This window comes from Homo sapiens, chromosome 7 (genome assembly GCF_000001405.40).
Source record: "Homo sapiens chromosome 7, GRCh38.p14 Primary Assembly".
NCBI lineage: Eukaryota > Metazoa > Chordata > Mammalia > Primates > Hominidae > Homo > Homo sapiens.
The window spans coordinates 157,110,156-157,131,642 of NC_000007.14; the positions used below are offsets into that span (position 1 = coordinate 157,110,156).

General features: G+C 47.5%; 1 long non-coding RNA gene across 4 annotated transcripts, besides 1 other annotated feature; it reads left to right on the forward strand.

The window, feature by feature from the left end:
• Positions 1-1,009: 1,009 nt before the first annotated feature.
• Positions 1,010-13,854, forward strand: LOC105375607 (uncharacterized). Of its 4 annotated transcripts, XR_928261.2 has the most exons (5): positions 1,010-1,069; positions 8,057-8,180; positions 8,697-8,817; positions 10,238-10,341; positions 13,057-13,854. It is a non-coding gene; the product is annotated as an uncharacterized LOC105375607 (long non-coding RNA). The 4 variants fall into 4 exon arrangements; XR_928260.1 differs by lacking the exon at positions 8,057-8,180 and having other exon boundaries at positions 1,011-1,069; XR_928259.1 differs by lacking the exon at positions 8,057-8,180 and having other exon boundaries at positions 1,025-1,069; positions 8,635-8,817.
• Positions 15,003-15,553: an enhancer, noted in NCBI's record as "H3K27ac-H3K4me1 hESC enhancer chr7:156917852-156918402 (GRCh37/hg19 assembly coordinates)". NCBI's record gives its function as "activates a minimal SCP1, AML or CMV promoter by ChIP-STARR-seq in naive H9 embryonic stem cells {active_cell/tissue: H9 hESC(naive)}" and the evidence as "EXISTENCE:reporter gene assay evidence [ECO:0000049][PMID:30033119]".

Below are 21,487 nucleotides of genomic sequence, written 5' to 3' on the forward strand. Positions count from 1 at the left end.
TCTACCTTACTCTCTGCCTGAACCAAAATGAGGTGGCAAAGTCACAGGAACAGAAGTCCTGCTTTTGGTGAGACTACAAGACACCTGGAACCTGAATCACAGTGTAGAAGAACGTCAGCAGACAGTGGACGCAAACATGACCCCACAGAGCGGACAGTCTGGAGCAGCCAGTGGATCCCTCCACATGACCTGTGTGAAAGGAAAGGAAAATCTCGAGACCAAACTCACCATGCCAAAGGGAACTGAGTCATGCAATGCCTGCCTGCCTTCTGTTTCCAGACAGCTGTGATCCCCATGCCTGCGTTATCGCATGTCAAATGTAGACCTACTGAGCGTGAGACAGATGCATGACTGGCTTTCCCCTAACTCTGTTCTTTTTTTTTTTTTTTTTTTGAGATGGAGTCTCACTCTGTCATCTAGGCTGGAGTGCAGTGGGGCGATCTTGGCTCATTGCAACCTCCGCCTCCTGGGTTCAAACGAGCCTCCTGCCTCAGCCTCCCGAGTAGCTGGGATTACCGGCGCATGCCACCATGCCTGGCTAATTTTTTTGGTATTTTTAGTAGAGATGGGGTTTCGGCATATTGGCCAGGCTGGTCTCAAACTCCTGGCCTCAAGTGATGTGCCCATCTCAGCCTCCCAAAGTGTTGGGATTACAGGCATGAGCCACCATGCCCGGCCGGCTCCATTCTTTACACAGGTGAAATGTAGATTCTCTGAGTGCTAATCAGAGCCTCATGAGAATGTGGCCTCTCACCTGTTTGCCTACCCTCTTTGTTTCCCTTTTCTCCTTTCTCTTGAAACACTGAAGTCCTTAAAACCCTCTTTGGTAAAAGCACAGGACACAGATTCTATTGTGCCTTGAGTTTCTTTTTCCCGGGCACATGCTCAACCTCAGCAAAATAAATCTCTCAGCCGATTGGGATCTGCCTGTCACTTTTTGTTTTGTTTTTCGATAGGTCATTTTAAGGACTTTATTAGTCGCTGTTTGGTTTACATCCAATAAGGACAAGGGAACAACCACAGGTGCTGACCCAGGGCACGGTTGGGGCCACGCAGGACTGGTTAACGGGTAAGGACTACTTAGACCCCCAGTTCCTAGCCCCTACAGTTAGGCAGTCACTCTTTCCCATCCATTTACGGGTTTAGAGTTTTAATTTATAACAGTGGAACTGGAGAGATTCCAGTTTGGGAACCAGGCTGACGGAAGGACAGATGTTGAAGCAGGATGTTTCCCTGACCTCTTTGCCCGCGGGAACTGAAGTGCGTGGGCACCAGCAGGGGCCAACTCCACTCACTTCCTGCTCCACCCCTCGTGGGAGCACAGGTGCACATGTGCAGGAGTCGGGGTGGGTGCTTTGGGTGCGGCAAGAGCGAACTCCATACCAGCCCTCCCGGCAGTGTCTAAAGGAGGATGCCTGCAACCCCTGAAGCCCCAGAGGAAGTGTTACAGTGCCCTTTTAGCTTTGCCATCCATGGCTTAAGTGTTAACAGCTCAGCAGAGGGTCAGTGTGACAGCCTTTTGCACCCACACTTGTAGCACTTGAGTTCTTGTCTGGCGCCCAGGAGGAATGAGGTTGCATGAATGACTTGAAGGTGGTAAATGCAGGACATTTTGTTGCTGATGAAAGTGGCTCTCAGTGGTAAGGGGAGCTGAAAAGGGGACGAAGTGGGAAGGTAATCTCTCTGAAGCTATGCCATCAAGTTGTTCCCCTGAACTCAAGCCACTTCTCTCCAACATCCAGCTGCTTCTCCTCTCCCTGCCAGCTTAACCAGGGGTTTTTAATGGGCACAGGACCACTGGTGAGGCGGGCCATGGGTGGTTTTGGAAAAGGCGACATTGGAGCTGGAAAACACAGATGTATGTTCTCACTTTGGGCCACAGTACGAGGTTTTGAGGCTTGAGGGTGGGGCCCTCACTGGAGACCTGCCCTCCTCTGCCCAGAACGTCCCTGCCTCCTGTCCTTATCAATATTTGGTGAGTTAAGTATTTTTAATTTCTTTGGGTATGATAATGGAACTGTAGTTATGGTTTACCAAAAACCCAGTCCTTATCTTTTAGCAATACATCCTGAAATGTTTATGGGCAAAATGGCGCAATGTGTGGGGCTGGCTTTAAAATAAGCTGGGTGGGAAGAGGGTGCAGGTACAGGGAGAAGGTGGCTGTGGAGGAGACAAAGTGAGGGATGCACTGGTGGCTGCTGGGGCTGAGTGATTGGCATGTGAGGATTTATTAAGCTCATCTCTCTACTTCTGTAGATGTTTAGAATTTTCTGCAATAAGATGCTTAAAAAAATTAAATGATGGCCTGGTGTGGTGGCTCATACCTGTAATCCCAGTACTTTGGGAGGCTGAGGCAGGCAGATTGCTTGAACCCAGGAGTTTGAGACCAGCCTGGGCAACATGGCGAAACCCCGCCTCTACAAAAAATACAAAAATTACGCAGGTATGGTGGTACATGCCTGTAGTCCCAGCTACTCAGGAGGCTGAGGTGGGAGTATCAATTGAGCCTGGGAGGTTGAGGCTGAAGTGAGCTGAGATTGCACCACTGCACTCCAGCCTGGGTGACAGAGTGAGACTTTGTCTAAAAAAAAAAAAATTTAAATGATGTTAACTGGGCAGAACAAAACAGTAACCCACAGCCACCACTTCAGAACAGTCATGGAGGTGAGGGACCCGGGGAAGCAGAATCCAGACCGGGTGCCTTCGACAGAGAGGCTTTACCCAGTGTTACCCGAGGAGTGGCTCATCGACCGGGGCAGGGCTGGCCCAGAACCTGTGCAGCAGCAGGGAAGTTCTGCAAAGGAAGAAAGAGATTCTATAAGGGAGGAAGAAACGGGGAGGACAGGGGCAAACAGATGGCCAGCATGGCCCCACATGGGCGTGCTTTGCTCAATGATCTCCTAATCTTGAAAAGTAAGGAAAAAGGCTCCCTTTGAAACATGACTGAAATAATTTTAGGACAATAACAAGGCATCATGATATTAATATAAAGAAAGAGAATTGGAAATTGCATCCACCTGGGTAATTTTCTCTCCTCGCTGAGATTAAATTTTCTAATCTGTAAAATGAGGGGGTTGGACAAGATCCATGGCTATCAATCTTCATCCTACTTAATACTGAGCTATTTACTATCCGTATGTCAGTCTTTGCACCTCAAAAATACATAAAATATCTTAAAGTAATCATATTTCCCCAGGAAAAATATAATCAAAAACCTACTTAGCAAATTTAATTTGAAAGATGATGAGGCAGGAGGATCAGTTGAGGCCAGGAGTTTGAGATGAAGCTGGGCAACATAGTGAGACCCTGTCTCTACAAAAAAAATTTAAAATTAGCTGGGCATAGTGGTACATACTTGTAGTACCAGCTACTTGGGAGACTGAGGCAGGAGGATTGCTTCAGTCTAGGAGTCAAAGGCTGCAGTGAGCTGTTATCATGTTACTGAACTCCAGCCTGAGTCACAGAGTGATATCCTGTGTCTAAAAATATAATAAAAAGTTGAAAGATGAGGGATGTAGTTTGGCTGTGTCCCCACCCAAATCTCATCTTGAATTGTAGTTCCCATAATCCCCACCTGTGGCAGGAGGGACTTGGTGGGAGGTGGTTGAATCATGGGGGTGGTTTCCCCCATGTTGTTTTTGTGGTAGTGAGTAAGTTCTCACAAGATCTGATGGTGTTATAAGGGGCTTCCCCCTTCACTCGGCTCTCATTCTTCTCCCTCCTGCTGCCATGTGAAGGAGGACATGTTTGCTTCCCCTTCTACCATGATGGGTAAGTTTCCCAAGGCCTCTCCAGCCATGCTAACCCGTGAGTCAATTAAACCTCCTTCCTTCATAAACTACCCAGTCTCAGGGATGTCCTTTTAGCAGGGTAAGAACAGACAAATACAATGAGCCACGGATGGATGAAGGGGGCTTGCTTTCTAGTGTGGCATTGGACAATTGGATGTGCATTCATGGCTCTGCATTTGGTTTATTATTGTTCTCTGTTTTCCATGTAGAAATGACTGCAAAACCCAGACTTCAGGATATCACTAGCTTGTCATTAAAAATGTTTAAGTTTAAATCTCTATTGCATAATAATTCCGCAATTTTTAAAATTACCAAATCAGGGTTTATGATCTGAAAAAGACTGTGAATTTTCAGTTTCACGAGGAAAACCCCCATGTGTGTGGAGTCTTATGCTGCACCTCATTGGCCATCAGTCTTGTGATTTTCCTGTGAAAAGTTGTCATGGGTGGAGAAGAAACTAAATCAACCTTTGTTTTCTCATCCATACCATATCTGAATTTTCTTTTCTTGTGGCTATGATTTTGCCATGGCAGAGAAGATGTTTTGCCTTAAAAATGTAGGTTTCTTCAACTCCTAGGTATATGTTCAAAAGAATTGAAAGCAGGGACTCAATCAGATATTTGTATACCAATACTTTTTTTTTTTTTTAAGAGATAGGGACTTGCTTGTCGTCCAGGCTGGAGGTCAGTGGCACAATCACAGCTCACTGCAGCCTCAAACTCCTGGGCTCAAGGGATCCTCTTACCTCAGCCTCTTGAATAGCCGGGACTATAGGCATGCCCCACCATACCTGACTAATTTTTATTTTTTATTTTTTAGAGATAGGATCTCACTTGTTGCCCAGGTTGATCATGAACTGCTGGCCTGAAACCAACCTCCCGCCTCAGCCTCACAAGTCATTAGAATTATAGGTGTGAACCACCTCCCCTGTACGATATCAATATTTGTATAGCAGTGTTAGTCACAGTCGCCAGAAGGTAAAGCAACCCAAGTGTCCATCAACAGATAAATGGATGAACAAATTGTGGTCTATTCATACAATCGAATATGATTGAGTCTTAAAAAGGAAAGAAATTATGACACAGGTTACAATACCGTTGAACCTCAGAAACATTATGCTGAGTGAAATAAGCCAGACACAAAAGAACAAATGCTGCGTGATTCCACTTTCATAAGGTACCTTCACAGTCAAATTCATAGAGACAGAAGCTCCAGGGGTTGGGGCAAAGGGGAATGGGGAGTTAGTGTTTAATAGGGACAGAGTCTTAGTTTGGAAAGATGAGAAAGTTTGGAGATGGATGGTGGTAATCATTGCAAAACAATGTGAATGTATTTAATGTCACTGAACTGTATATTTAAAAATGGCTAAATGAGGCCAGTTATGGTGGCTCACAGTTATGGTGGCTCAACCTGTAATTCCAGCACTTTGGGAGGCCAAGGCAGGAGGATTGCTTGAGCCCAGGAGTTCGAGACCAGCCTTGGCAACATAGTGAGACCCTATCTCTACAAAAAATTTAAAAATTAGCCAAGTGTGGTGGCATGCCCCTGTAGTCCCAGCTACTCAGGAGGCTGAGGCAGGAGGATCATTTGAGCATGAGAGGTCAAGGCTGTAGTGAGCTATGATCGTGTCACTGCATTCCAGCCTGGAGAACAGAGAGAGAGACCCTGTCTCAAAAAAACAAAAAAACAAAAAAACAAAAAAAAAAACCCCAAAAAGGTTGAATGATTGATATTATGTTATGTACATTTTACCACAATAAAAAAGTCATGAATAAGAAATTTTAGGTTTACACTTTGGGAGGCCGAGTCGGGTGGATCACTTGAGCCCAGGAGTTTGAGACTAGCCTGGTCAACATGGCAAAACCTCATCTCTACTAAAAATACAAAAATCAGCTGGGTGGTGGTGACTGCATGTAGTCCCAGCTTCTCAGGAGACTGAGGCAGGGGAATCACTTGAACTGGGGAGGCAGAGGTTGCAGTGATCTGAGATCGTGCTACTGAACTCCAGCCTGGGTGACAAAGCGAGACTCCATCTAAAAAAAAAAAATTAGGTTTAGCTCATTCTTGTTAAAAAATGGTGAATCTGATAGGAAGGTAAAACTGCAGTCAGGTAACTATCTTCTGTTCAGTGGGTAATGAACACACCAAATGCAAAGAAGCCACAAAGAACCAATGCATGAATGCTACAGTATTCTAAGTACAGCCCCACTTCAATCAGCAGCTACTCCTTAGTACTTCGCTTTGATTCAATGGCTATGCATTGTGGAGTCTCACATCTCTGCAGGTTATACACAGTGCTTGGCTTTCTGGGACCCAGGTTTTATACAATTTACTATGTGGATCGCGCCCTCTAGTCCATCCTCGCCAAGACTGTGAGAGTCTTCTATATTGTGGATTGTCAGCAGTGATGAACAGAGTGAGCCACTGCACAATGAATTTCCCAGCTTTCTTTGAGGTCCCACCAGGAGAAACTAAAACAATGATTTCCAAAGGAATGTGGGTATGAGTATTTTATTTTATTTTATTTTTTATTTTTTTTTGAGACTGAGTTTCGCTCTTGTTGCCCAGGCTGGAGTGCAATGGCATGATCTCGGCTCACTAAAACCTCCACCTCCTGGGTTCAAGCCAGTCTCCTGCCTCAGTCTCCCAAGTAGGTTGGATTATAGGTGCCTGCCACCACGCCTGGCTAATTTTTTGGTAATTTTAATAGAGACGGGGTTTCACCATGTTGGCCAGGCTGGTCTCGAACCCCTGACCTCAGGTGATCCACCCGCTTTGGCCTCCCAAAGTGCTGGGATTACAGGCGTGAGCCACTGCACTCAGCCGGCATGAGTATTTTAAACAACAACCACACAACTGTAGTTGATTTTCCAGCAGTGATGTCTCCCCTCCCACTCATAGTCATCGAACCCCAAGCGAAGGATTTCTGAGCTAGGATACACTCAGAGAAGCAGCAGGGCATAATCAATGACTGTCGGTCAGCAGACCTGCCACAAGCCCTGGCCTTGTCACTTCACCAGCTATGACAGCTTGTGTGAGTCACTCAACCCTTCTGGGCTGGCTTTGGTTTCATTATCTGTAGGACATCCAAGATGATACTTCCTCACTTTTCCTGTCTCTCAGGGATTTCTGGAGGGCTCAATGAGCTAATGCATGCACTGGTTTGTAAACTAATTTTTCTTTCTTTTTTTTTTTTAAAGACGGGGGTCTCACTGTGTTGCCCAGGCTGGTCTCCCACTCCTAGCCTCAAGTGATCCTCCCACCTTGTCTCCCAAAGTGCCGGGATTACAGGCGTGAGCCGCCGTGCCTGGCCTTGGTTTGTAAACTGTAAGCAAACATCATCTTTTGCTTTTAATGGAGAATCACTTGGATGTCCATTCAACCTCATTAGGCCTCATTTTCATGTTGGACTCAAATTTTCTCAAGGTCTTATCCAGCTCCAACATTTGGGCTAGGTTGATTAAGGACAGCTTCATGGAGGAATCAGCACTTTAGGCCCTTCGGGTCTCCCAAGAAAGACTGCACTTAGCCATTTAAAAATTAAGGAAAAGACTGAAACAGGAGGCAGAAACGACCATCAAAGGCACAGAGGTGCAGGTGAGCCTCTGAGCACTTAACTCCAGAGAAGCTGCCCCTGGGTGGGGAGCACACAGTCACTGTGCAAGGGTTACTTGCATCAGCCAAGCTAGCACGCGGTGTCACATCAGTATTGTTAGTTTGAATGTTAATGGTTTGGCAGTTTTGTTTATTTTTAATTTGTGAATTATTTTACTTCTATGTTTGCACGATGACATGAAGCATCAGAAGCTTATAATGAGTTTACATTTACACGTTTAAGGAAAATTGTACTCAAAATAATGCGGAGGGTACATGAGAAATATTACCTTTACATGTAATCTACTGGATAGTACAATTGTGTCCCCCCAGATCCCTTCTCTCCCTTCCTAATCATCTAGCTGCAGAAGGGATTGAGCCATCCTCAACTGCCAGAATCACCCTGATTTCTTCAATTCTTCCTCTCTGCCACTGATTGGTTAAGTTCTAGCCAATCAGCACATGGCATTTCCCTAGTCAATGGGATTGGCTCCAAATGGGCACATGACCCAATGGGAGGGCAGACATGCCAGTAGAGGTGTGTGGGGCTCGCTCTAAAAGATAGCTTCTCTTCTGGAGTTGTTCTTTGAAGAGCTACTGAGGGCTGCCACTTTCTCCCTTTCTGGTATATGTCCATAAAAGCTGGAACTGCTTCTGCTGCTGTTTTGCAGATGTGTAGAAGACCAGTGCTAGAGGGAAGCAGGGCAGTAGCACAGGAAAGCACATACTTACCTGTCTGGGCAGCTGAGTCATCATACCCATCCTGAAGCCCACTCATTTCTTGGACAATCTAGTGTGAGTTTATAAGTCCCCTTTTAGTTTAAGTCTTTCTGCTATAAGAGATAGCCCCACAATTTCATGCTATAGAACAATTACAACAATATTTTTAATTTATATTTATTTATTTATTTATTTTAGGCGAGGTCTCACTCTGTCACCCAGGCCAGAGTGCTGTGGCGCAATCTCGGCTCACTGCAACCTCCGCCTCCCAGGCTCAAGTGATTCTTGTGCCTCAGCCTCCCAAGTAGCTGGGACCAGCTAATCTTTGTATTTTTAGTAGAGACGGGGTTTCGCCATGTTGGCCAGGCTGGTCTCAAACTCCTGGGCTGAAGTGATCTGCCTGCCTCAGCCTCCCAAAGTGCTGGGATTACAGGTGTGAGCCACCGCACCCATCCAACAGTGTTTATTTTGCCATGAATCTGTAATCTGGGCAGGGCTTGTCAGGCCCAGCTTATCTCTGCTTTGTCAGCTTCAGCTGGAGCTCCGGAAAAGTAAAGGGCTGGGATCACCTAGAGCCCATCCACTCCACAGGCCAGGTGTCCTGGACCTTCGCTGAAACACCTGCAGTAATCTGTGCCTGCAGCTGGGGCTGCCTCACTGCACACGACTGGGTTCCAAGGGACAGAGGAAGGGAGAGAAAGAAAGCAAGAAGGTGAGTGCTCGCACAAACCAGGTGGAAGCCATATTGCTCCTGTGACCTGACCTTGGGATGACCTTGGAAATGACCTGCATCTTCCCCTGAGTCCACAGAAGCAGCTTCAAATGGAGGGAAATAGACTGTCTTTTTTTTTTAGACAGAGTCTTACTCTATCGCCTAGGAGTGTCATGGCATGGTCTCAGCTCACTCTAGCCTTACCTCCTGGGCTCAAGCAATCCTCCAGCCTCAGCCGTCTGAGTAACTGGGACCACAGGTGTGCACCACCACACTCAGCTAATTTTTATATTTTTTGTAGAGACAGGGTCTCATCATGTTGCCCAGGCTTGTTTTGAACTCCTGGGCTCAAGCAATCCACCTGCCCTGGCCTCCCAAAGTGCTGGGATTAAATATTGCTTGGCCAAGCATGGTGGCTCACACCTGTAATCTCAGCACTTTGGGAGGCCGAGGTGGGAGGATCACTTGAGCTCAGGAGTTGGAGACCAGCCTGGGCAATACAGGCAGATCCATCTCTACAAAATAAAATTTTAAAATGAAAAATATATATTACTTTTCTTACTATAACACAGGTTTGATAATACCTGCTTGATGGATTATTACAGGGATTAATGAGAAAATATAAGTAAAATTATTTTGTAAGCTGTAAAGCTCTATACAAATGTGAATGATTATTTTAATTTAGTATTTTAAACTTCAAAACCAAATTGATACAACTGATCATTTAAGTCCAGGAGGTAACTACTTCCCTCTTGCTTCTAATGCCTGACAATGAGGAACAGAACTGGGGTTGAGGCTGCTCTCCAGGGAAGGCGGCTGATGCATCAAAGAAGGTCATGTTTTATTTGTAAATTGGGCAATGGGTCCTTGGAACTTGGTATTTTATCCTTTTAGTCATTTTGTATGTCCAAAATATTTCATCATAAATTTAAATCAATCCCTTCCCTTGCTTTTCTATTAATACGTGAGGCACTGGGTTGGGAGAAGTCGGATAGGGTCCCTTCATACCAGCTGGGAAGTTTCTGTGGTGACTGCTCCATTGGGTAAGATTTTAGCTTTGTTGATCAGCCCGTCTGATCAACAGGACCAGTTGCTGGGAGGTTAGAAGGAGCAGTGGACGGCCACTTGGCCATAAGCATCACACGGAGAGGGGCCTTGTCTCTGTTGCTGTGTCTCCAGCTCCTGGCGCACAGCCCACGTGTGTCTGCTGAGTGCGGGCAGCCCTGGAGTGGGGTCTTTGCCTTCTCCTCCTGTCTGTTTCTCCTGTTCTTCTGGGCCCCTAGATGATCCCACGTCTTCATGTCCTGGCAGTTGGGTGGTTCTAGGGACCGTGGGATAAGATTGCCAACGGGCCTGTGTGGGAGGGCCGTGTGCCACTTCTCATCACCCTGAGACCATCGTGTTCTTGTCCCCACTGTAGAGATGGAGGCACGAGAGCTGGGCAGGCTGACCTGCCGAGTGGCCGCGGCGGACACTGTCCTAGAGAGCCGTCCAGACTCCCAGCAGACCTTGCATTAGCACCAGGTAAACCTAGGGGTTGTTTGTACCTGAGCATGACGTAGCCTGCCCTGACAATTTCATGCTCCTGTCAAGAAGCGTGAGCTCCTGCATCCACACACAGCGGTTCTCGGGAGGAAAAGCATCACAGGCAAGGCAAGGGAGAGGAAGAGGAAGGTACATTTTAATAACAAACGGTTGAGGCTTTAAGTGAAATGGAAGATCTTTATGTGAAAAACGGTTGAGATCTGGTGATAATTTGAAAGTAAAATCCATGGTCCTTGTTTCTGTAACGGCAGTTTGAGGAAGCTGCATGTTCACAATGACCGTGCCGGCCTTCCTAGTGAAGGTGTCTACCGACTAGGACTAAAGCCATGGTGACATAAAAGAGATTTTCATAACTAAACAGTTCTTTAAATGTGTGTCATTGAGCACCCGATGTGGCTTCCAAGATAGTTCAGCGGGACACAGGGTAAGGTGTGGAGGCAAAAGTGCGTCTCGCCCAGACCCAGCGGTCGAGAGGGCTCTGTGGCCACCTCCACCAGCTTCTTAGCCACCGGCCATTTCAATCCAGGTGAGCACAGCACAGATGGGCAGGATTCTAACTCCCCTGCACCTCTGTCTGGAAATCTCTGGAACTGACTAGAAAGTGGTTCTGGAAACTTCTCTAGAGATTGTCTATGCAGGCCTAAGCACTGCAAATGGTACTGGCAGAGCCCAGCTTGGAGATTTTCCTGAGGTTAGACCCGCTGGCCCTGCTGCACAACCAACTACCCAGCACTTGGTGGCCCAAAAGCAAAACACATTTGGTGCCCAGCTGCTGCGGGCCAGGGGCTGCCGCGGGCCAGGGGCTTGGGGATGGCTTCGCTGGGTGCTTCTCTCTCAGGGCCTCTGGCGAGGCTGCAGTCAAGAGGCCGGCTGTGGCTGCATTTGCCAAAGGCTCAACGGAGGCAGGTGGGCCCACCTCAGGATGGCCCCGTTGTGGGGGTTGGAGCTGGAGGCCTCGGCTCTGTGCCGCGTGGGGCCCTCTGTGCACTGCCTGAGTATGCTCCCTGTGTGGTGTTTGCGTTCTCCAGGGTGCATGACCCAAGAGAGGGAGCACACAGGAAGCTGAGTGCCTCGCGTGAATGTGTCTCCGAGGCCCACACTGCGGAGTCCAGGTTTCTTCTACTCAGCAGAAAAGAGCAGCTAAATCCAACCTGTGCTCCAGGGGAGGGGCATAGGCGCCATCTTTTTTTTTTTTTTTTTTTTTTTTTGAGATGGGGTCTGGCCATGTTGTCCAGGCCGATCTTGGACTTTTGGATGCCTCCCATCTCAGCCCACGTAGCTGAGTCTACAGGTATAAGCCATGGCACCTGGCTTCAGGATCCATCTTTTGTTTCTTTGTTTTTGAGACTGAGTCTCACTGTGTCGCCCAGGCTGGAGTGCAGTGCCATGATCTTGGCTCACTGCACCCTCCACCTCCTAGGTTCGAGTGATTCTCCTGCCTCAGCCTCCTAAGTAGCTGGGATTACAGGTGCCTGACACCAAGCCTGGCTAATTTTTGTATTTTTAGTAGAGACAGGGTTTCACCATGTCGGCCAGGCTGGTCTTGAACTCCTGACCTCAGGTGATCCACCCACCTCGGCCACTCAAAGTGCTGGGATTACAGGCATGAGCCACTGCGCCCAGCCCAGGCTCCATCGTTTGAAGAGAGTGCCAGAGAAGCTGTGCATATACAGGCTGAGCATCCCTAATCCAAAAATCCCAAATCTGAAAAGCTCCAAAATTCAGAACGTTTTGAGCACCAACGTGATGCCACAAGGGGAGAATCTCATGCATGCCCTCACGTGATGGGTCACAGTCAAAATGCAAACTTTGTGTTCTGCACAAAATTATGTTTATGTATTGCATCGAGTTATCTTCAGCTATGTGTGTAAGGTGTATATGAAACATAAATGAATTTTGTGTTTAGATTTGGGTCCCACCCTCAAGATATCTCATTATTACAAATATTCCAAAATCCGAAAAAATAAAAATCTGAAACTTCTAGTCCAAACTATGTTGGATAAGAGATTGTAACTAGTATTTTAAATGCCATAAGATTTAATTGGCTAATATTTAACAATAACTATAATGTGCCAAGTACTAAGCTACATTTAGAAAAACAAATTGTCTAATCAAATGGTTGGTGTGATCATCTCTGAGTTACACACGAGCAGACAGACCTCAGAGGTGGCCTGACTTGCTCATACAGGCAGTACCTGAGATTTGAACCTTGGTCCTTTGATGCTGTAGTAACTATGTTGTTTATTTTCTGTATCTGATGCTCTGACACCTGGGGCCTGTTGACCCTGGGAGGCTGCCTCTCCCACAAACAGCCAGTTCCTGGATAGCGAACACTTGCCCACCCCACGCAGGCTTTCCATGTGCAAACCCTGCAATGCAGAGCCCACACCTGCCACCTCCTCTGTGGGCTCACACCCCAGGCCACTGTTCACCCACACTTGTCAACCCTGGGTAGGGACCAGACGCGGGGCAGCCCCTGGCCCCAGAGGGCTGTAATTATTCAAGCTGGGCAGTCCTGGGCCTGCTGACCCTGCCTTGGCCTCCCTTATTGTGGAAACCACAATAGAGGCTCCTGCTCGGTTCCCCCACCCCCCAGCATCCCGACCAACCCTGGCGCATCCCTGTGTGGCCCCTGTGGTGCGACCTGCCCTCCTCTCAGGATCTGTGAGTAACAAGCCATCTTTTCAATGGCAGCCATCCTGGATCTGTTGCCCTCACCATGCTGAACCATAAGCAAGCCTGTTGAAGACAGACAAACAGATGCCTGGCCTGGTCCTCCCCGCCGCCCCCTCCCTGCTGCCCCCTGGACACTTGCTGCTCCAGTGTGCACCATGGTGAGGGCACAGGGAGGCACCACCTGCATAGATCTCACAACAGCACATGGAGAGCTCTGCGCCAGGCCTTGGGTGCTTCTGGATTCCTTGCAGCTGGTGATTATTTCAGGCCCGCTGCTGCCTCTAGCCATGGCTCTTCAATGAACTTGTATCGGAAGAGATTTACTACTCTAACTAGATCTGTATCTCAATTTAATGAAAATGTTAAGGATACTTTGATGGTCTTGCGCCAGTGTAATTTTAAATGAAATGTCTTCACTCTTTGGCAGCCTGCACTGCTCAGGTGTTTAACTATCAGAAAGTGCTTAAGTGAAGTGCTCTTTGCAATACTGTCTTTACATCAGCTTGTTTTACAGCATTTTTTTCCCCAGAGTAAACAAAATAAGTTTTGTGGGTATCTTTGAGGCAAAGCCTCATCTGTGTTGCTAGAAATTAAACCCTGGCCACCATAGGTTACAAAGTGGTGCATCTTGGGGGAGACACCAGGCCTGGTGCTTCTTTCTAAGCTTTGGTTTCCACGTTTGTAAAATGTGGGTAATAACGTTTCCCTCATAGGACTGCTCTACGCACATAAGTTTAAAAGTCCGTATGGGGCCGCGCACAGTGGCTCACACCTGTAATCCCAGCACTTTGGGAGGCTGAAGTGGGTGGATCACTTGAGGTCAGCAGTTCGAGACCAGCCTGGGCAACACAGTGAGACCCCCATCTCTACTAAAAATATGAAAATTAGCTGGGCATTGTGGTGGGCGCCTGTAATCTCAGCTACTCGGGAGGCTGAGGCAGGAGAATCGCTTGAACCTGGGAGGCGGAGGTTGCAGTGAGCGGAGATCATGCCACTGCACTCCAGCCTGGGTGACAGAGCGAGACTCCATCTCAAAAAAAAAAAAAAAAAAAAGTCTATATGGCATGTCGTGTCATACCTGACAAAATATGAATCCTCAGTAAAGAGGAGCTTTGATTTTCCACTGCTGTGTTTATATGTTCCGACACTTGATTATTCGTAGATGACCTTGAGCAGAAGTGTAAGTGTATCTTCCCAAAACACAGGGTGCTCCGCGCTTGGCGAGGAGGAACTCTCCTTGACTGTCCTGGCAGCTTCGAGCTGTCCAAGGCGACAAGGAGCACTTGCAATTTGGCCTCCTACTTCCCACACATTGAAGGGCTGCCAAACACACGCTTAATTGTCTAACCTTTTTAAATGATTAAAATGATGGTGATGATAATGCGGAGAAGAGTAGAATGTTAACCGCAGCATGTTATCAGTACTTGGTGTTTTCATACTGTTTATCATCGCAGTTCTTTCAACCTGTGAACTTAGCAAAATGCCCTTTGAGTACAGATGCTGAGTGTCAGTAACGCTGGTCTGAAATGACCGGGCTCATTCAGCGTTTGTATCACTAAAATGTAGCCCTCAAGAATGGAGCCCGGCCAGGCCTATGCCTTCCACCTCGTGGGGCATCCTGCCCACGTGGCAGATGAAGTTGATGACGTTAAGTGACTCACCAAAGTCATGCAGTTAGGAAGGGTCAGGGAAGGGCTGGAACCCAAGTCTCAACAACGCTTTACTACTAGGAAACGTCTTAAGCGTTAGGAAGTTGAAGGCATGCATGAATATCTGAATATTGCTCAGTCTGCAATTGACAGTGTAAACAAGGTTTCACGGAAGAACAGCTCGGCGATCTGCCCGGGTAGCTGTGAAGTCACAGCCATGTTGGCCGATGGATAGTGGACACTGTTCCGTTTTTAGCAAAAAACCCCACAATCCTCAACCTTCAAGAGCTTTATGAGAAAAAGAAGAAAATGGAAATGCCTAGACTCACGAGGGGTGCTGCCTGCCTTCCTCCCGAGGAAGGAGGAAGCCTCTGGGTCCCCGTGCCTCCGGGCAGTCGGGCTCTGGCCCTTCTCGTCTTGTCCCAGACACGCTGTCTTTCTTCTGTTCCAAGCGGGGCCTTCACCTGCTTTCACTCTCACCCCTGCCCCTCCAGGCCCTTGTTCTGCCAAACTCCTCCTGTGACTCAGCCCCTCCCTCCCTCCACACTTGCATTATCGGTTCATTGCTGAGAACTGGGAGCCTGGGACACAGACCTCTGGGGAATAATTTCATGCCTGGAGAAGGAGCCCCTGGCAGGGCTTTGGCCACCGCCCCAGGCCTCAGAGCTGAGCGCCGGCCCCAGGGAGGCCTGTGTCTCACAGCCAGCCCCGCAGGAGCATCCCCAGCAGTGCACCTGGCTGTTCACAGCCGCAGCTTGAGGCGAGGATGGACGTTGAGGCCACACAACATGTTGGCCTTATTGGGTGACTGCAGCTCACAGGGGAGGGGCCCAGGTGCAGAGGCTGCCTGTGTCTGCAGTGCCCTGGGACTTATGCGGCAAGGCCTGAGCAAGGGTGTGGGCCGTGGACCTCAGAGCAGGCAAGGGCCGGGCTCGGGGGAGTCTGAGGGGCATCTCAGCTGCACACCGAGGCCCCTCGGGACAGCTGCTGACGCGTGGCCCGACCTCTCCTGGGGAAGTTCAACTCAAGGTGCAGAACAAGTCAGGTCAGGGCAGAGAGCCTGGTGGGGGGTGTGGGCAGGGGGAGGCTCCCGGTGACCCCACGGGAAACCCCGCAGAGGCTCTGGGGCAGGAGTCACTGTGAGGTGAGGAGAGAACCATCCGGAGTCGCCATCCACGGACAGATGCGGTTCTACAGGGTGAGGCAGGACAAGGCATGTCCCAGCACTGACTTGAAACTGTCCTGAAGCCACTGGAGCTGGTGTCCTAGGCAGAGAGGTCACACAGGCAGAGCTCTGAGTGCCAGAGACATGGGACTCATCAGGTAAAGGAAAGGAGGGTTTCAAAAACTTGGGATCGGCCGGAAAAGCACCTGAAGCAAGGCCTGATTGAGCTTGCCCCTGTGTCTTGAATACCACCTTCTGGAGTGCAGGAGAGGACGCACAGGCCACAGTTGCAGGCTGGAGTACAATGGCGTGATCTCAGCTCACTGCAACCTCTGCCTCCCAGGCTCAAGCAATTCTTGTGCCTCAGCCTCCCAAGTAGCTGGGACTACAGGCATGTGCTACCACATCTGGCTGATTTTCATATTTTTAGTAGAGACAGGGTCTCACCATGTTGGCCAGGCAGGTCTTGAACTCCTGACCTCAAATGAGCCACCCACCTCAGCCCCCCAAAGGGCTGGGATTACAGGCGTGAGCCACTGCGCCTGACTAGCAACTGAGAATTTTTGGCATGGATTCTGGCTAAGCTGTACAGAGGGTTTGCATTTTGGTGAGTGGAAAATCATATCTACCCTCCTGTTAAATGCCATGGTCCCTGCTGTGGTCTCTGGTACACTGTGTCTTGATTCTTATTCATCTCAAAGTATTTTCTGGTTTCTGTTTTTCTTAGACTCATTGGCTATTTAGGAGTGTGTTGTATAATTTCCACATATTTGTGAGTTTCCCAAATTGTCTCCACAAAGTCTTACTCTGTCGCCCAGGCTGGAGTGCACTGGCGTGATCATGGCTCACTGCAGTCTTGACCTCCTGGGCTCAAGTGATCCTCCCATCTCAGCCTCCCAAGTAGCTGGGACTACAGGCATGTGCCCCTACACCAACTAATTTATTACTTTTTTTAATAGAGATGAGGTCTTGCTATGTAGCCCAGACGGGCATCGAGCTCCTGGCCTCAAGTGATCCTCCCAAGTCGGCCTTCCAAAGTGCTGGGATTATAGGTGTGAGTGCTGTGCCCGACTCTTGTCATCAATTTCTAATGTCACTCCCTCGTGCTTGGAGCACGTGCTCTGAATTACCTGCTCCTTTGCAGATGTGCTGAAGCTTGCTTTACGGCCTCGCACGTGGTCCATCCTGGAGAATCCTCCGTGCGCCCTGGAGAAGCATGTGTGTTCTGTTGGTGCTGGCAGAGTGTCCACAGGTGTTATGTCTAGTTGGATTGTATTGTTATTTAAATGTTCTCTTCTTTCTTTCTTTCTTTCTTTCTTTCTTTCTTTCTTTCTTTCTTTCTTCTGTCTGGTTTCTATGCATTATTAAAATTGAGGTAGTGGAGTGGGCGTGGTGGCTTATGCCTATAATCCCAGCACTTTGGGAGGCCGAGGTGGGCAGATCACAATGTCAAGAGATCGAGACTATCCTGCCAACATGGAAATACCCCGTCTCTACTAAAAATACAAAAACTAGCTGGGCATGGTGGCAGGCGCCTGTAATCCCAGCTACTCAGGAGGCTGAGACAGGAGAATCGCTTGAACCTGGGAGGCGGAGGTTGCAATGAGCTGAGATGGTGCCACTGCACTCTAGCCTGGCAACAGAGCAAGACTCAAAAAAAAAAAAAAAATTAAGGTAGCGAAGTCTCTAGTTACTACTTTGAATTGTCCATTCTCCCTTCATTTCTGTCCATTTTAATTATTTTGGACTTTAATGAGACTTTCATCTTGTAAAACAATTCAATTTTTTTAATGCTTGAACTTCCCCTGGAATATAATGAAGAAGAGAATATATTCAAATGCAGAACATCTTATTGTGGGCATTTTATTAATGAGGTTTATTTTTCTAAAAAATTATTATTAAAGTTATTATGCCTACAGAAAGTGTATTAAACAGATATTTAAATTTTGAAGAGTAAGATCGAAGCACACATCTCAAGGAAGACCACCCAGCTTGAGACACTCCGTCGGCAATAACTGAGACGCTCTCGCGGTGGTCTTTCCTGCTCAGTAACTACCATCCCCACTTTTCTGGAAAACTTTTCTTTGTATTTCTTTACAATTGTGTTTATTGGAATGTCTTTTTGTATTTTATTTTCAGAGAATTTTTTTTTTTTTTTTTTTTTTTTTTAGACAGAGTCTCACTCTGTCGTCCAGGCTGGAGTGCAGTGGCATGATCTTGGCTCACTGTAACCTCCACCTCCTGGGTTCAAGTGATTCTCCTGCCTCAGCCTCCTGAGTAGCTGGGATTACAGGTGCCCACCACCACACCTGGCTAATCTTTGTGTTTTTAGTAGGGATGTCATCATGTTGCCCAGGCTGGTCTCAAACTCCTGGCCTCAAGTGATATGCCTGCCTCGGCCTCCCAAGGTGCTGGGATTACAGAGGTGAGTCACTGTGCCCAGCCAATTATCAGAGAAACTTAATGTGACCACTTAATCTCATTGATAACTTCTGATGAGCTCTATTGGACAGGGTAGCTGGACACAGTTTGGTATAGTAAATGGAGGAAGGAGTGACTGTTCAGCCTCAGGTGTACCGTGGCCATGGTGTTCACTTAATGAATGTTTTCCTTGCACCCACTTCAGAGCCTCTGGGGTCCAAATCTACATTGCTCACTGGTGGTCCCAGGATGATACCTGAAGGAGAGGTGGTGTGTCCTTTGGGGTAGCAATGAACAGAACCTATTGAAATTTAGGCATGTATACCCTTCAACTCAGCCGTACCGTGGTTTCATTTCCTTTGGGTATATAGCCTGGAGTGAGATTGCTGGATCATAGGGTAGTTCTACTTTTAATTTTCTGGGCCGGGCGCGGTGGCTCACGCCTGTAATCCCAGCACTTTGGGAGGCTGAGGCGGGCGGATCATGAGGTCAGCAGATCGAGACCATCCTGGCTAACAGAGTGAAACCCCGTCTCTACTGAAAATACAAAAAAAAATTAGCCGGGCGTGGTGGCAGGCACCTATAGTCCTAGCTACTTGGGAGGCTGAGGCAGGAGGATGGTGTGAACCTGGGAGGTGGAGCTTGCAGTGAGCCGAGATTGCGCCACTGGACTCCAGCCTGGGCGACAGAGCGAGACCCCATCTCAAAAAAATTAATTAATTAATTAATTAATTAATAATAATAATAATAATTTTCTGAGGAACCGCCATGCCGTTTTCCGTACTGGCTGTACCAATTCACTTTCCCACAGTGTACAAGGTTTGCTTTTCTCCTCATCCTCACCAACCCCTGTTACCTCCTGTCTTTTGGATAGCAGCCGTGCTAACAGGTGTGAGGAGCTGGCTCAGCATGGCTTGACGTGCACGCGCCTGATGCTGGGTGATGGTGAGTGCCCTTCCCTGCAGCGATGGAGCTATGCCCTTTCGAGTGTCCATCCTGCAGAAAGAGCTCCCACCTGTGTGCAAGAATGTTCTTGCAGCATAAATTGAAATAGGAAGAAAAAAAAAGAGACATCCGCCTGGGTGTGAAACAATAGGGAAATGGTAAAATAATAAATTCTGGAGCGTTCAGACAATAAGATTCTAAGCATCCAGTTAATGCAGCAAAATGAGTTAGTTAATGTTAAAATGAATGTGCTACATCTCTAAATGCCGTTATGGAAGACTTGTGATATATTTTGGTTCCCAACGAAAGAAAGTTTTGGGGGAGATGAGGAAAATGATCTTGTTTAAAAACAAAAAAATTGTAGATGGATAGTATGGCACACAGAATCATGGCTCCCTAAATATGTCCATGTCCTAATCCTGTGAACGTGTGAATGTCATCCTTTTTTTTTTTTTTTTTTTTTGTGACAGAGTCTTGCTGTGTCGTCCAGGCTGGAATGCAGTGGTGCAATCTCAGCTCACTGCAACCTCTGCCTCCTGGGTTGAAGCAATTCTCCTGCCTCAGCCCACCTGAGTAGCTGGGATTACAGGAACACGCCACCATGCCAGACTCATTTTTTTTGTATTTTTAGTAGAGATGGGGTTTCACCACATTGGTCAGGCTGGTCTCGAACTCCTGACCTCATGATCCACCTGCCTCAGCCTCCCAAAGTGCTGAGATTACAGGCGTGAGTCACCGCGCCCGGCCGGATGTTATCTTACACAGCAAAAGGGACCTTGCGGATGTCATGAAGTCAAGGATTTTGCCAGGTGAGATGATCCTGGGTTACGTGGTGGACCCCATGTCATCCCAGGGTGCCTACGATGGGGAGGCAGGAGAGTCAGTCAGGGAAGGGAATTGAGGACAGAGCGGTGGTTGGCATGAAGTGATTGCTGGAATGGGTCATGAGCCAGGGAATGCTGGACAGGGCAAGAACAGAGCCTCCTCCCGCGTCTGCAGAAGGACCCCGCCCTGTGATGCCTTGGTTTCAGCCCAGGGAGACCCGTGAGGACTTCTGACCTCCAGAGCTGTAGGGCAATGCATTTGTGTTGTTTTAAGCCTCTAAGCTTTTGGTAATTTGTTACAGGAGTGATAAGAAACTAAGAGAGAGAGAGAGCTGATAGATCAATAATCTCAAAGATATGATGAGGAGGCAGAGCAGATAGGATTTTTTTCATTTATTTGTGTACATTGGAATTGATTTTTAAAATAATTAGCATGTATTACTATTCTAAATAATGAATTTTTAAAATAAAAATATAGCCCATTTTTATCATATGTTTGAATTGTGAGGTAACTAAGACAAGATGGTGTGTAAGACAGAAGAAACTGGATAAATGACTTTCTTGGTGAAAGCAGCTCTTCCTTTTCTCTCCTGCAGTTTGCAAAAGAACTTCTGAGACAATGTGTGGTTTTCAGGTAGAATCTTCAGATACACTGGGAAGCTCTTACAAGCATCCATAAACAATAAGTTAAAAATATATTGCTATTTTCTATTAGATTCCTTTGGAGCAAAGGGATAGAAGGAAGGAAGGAGAGATAGGAGGAGTATATATGTTTCCTAATAGAGTGCAATGAGACATTCGGGGCTTTTTCAAACACCGGAAAATTTGAGCCATAGGGGAGATGTATGTTTTCTCTGTCTCTCTCTCTCTCTCTCTCTCTGTCTCTCTCTCTCTCTCTCTCTCTGTCTCTCTCTCTCTCTCTCTCTCTCTGTCTCTCTCTCTCTCTCTGTCTCTCTCTCTCTCTCTATATATATATATATATGTATATATATGTATTAGGGTCTCCAGAGAAACAGAACCAATATGATGTATGTATCTATAGCTATACCTATATCTGCATTTGAGAGAGATTTATAATGAGGAATTGGCTTAGGCGGTTGTGGCGGCCGGGAACTCCTACCATCTGCCATCTGCAATCCTGAGGCTCAGGAGAGCTGGTGGCATGGGACGGGGTGAAGAACCAGTGAAGTCCCAGAGTCTGAAGCAATAGCCCGGAGCTCTGATGCCCGCAGACAGAAGATGAACGTCCCAGCTCAAGAACAAAGAGGGAGAAGGTTCCCTCAGGTTCCCTCCCTCCACATTTTTTTTTCCTCCATATAATCTTGCCCCTCCTAAACACCTTTTTGTTCTATTCAGGCTCTGAATGAGTTGGAGGTTGCCTGTTCACGTTGGTGAAGGCAGCACACAGAATCATGTTTTACCAGCTATCTGGGATCCCTTGGGGC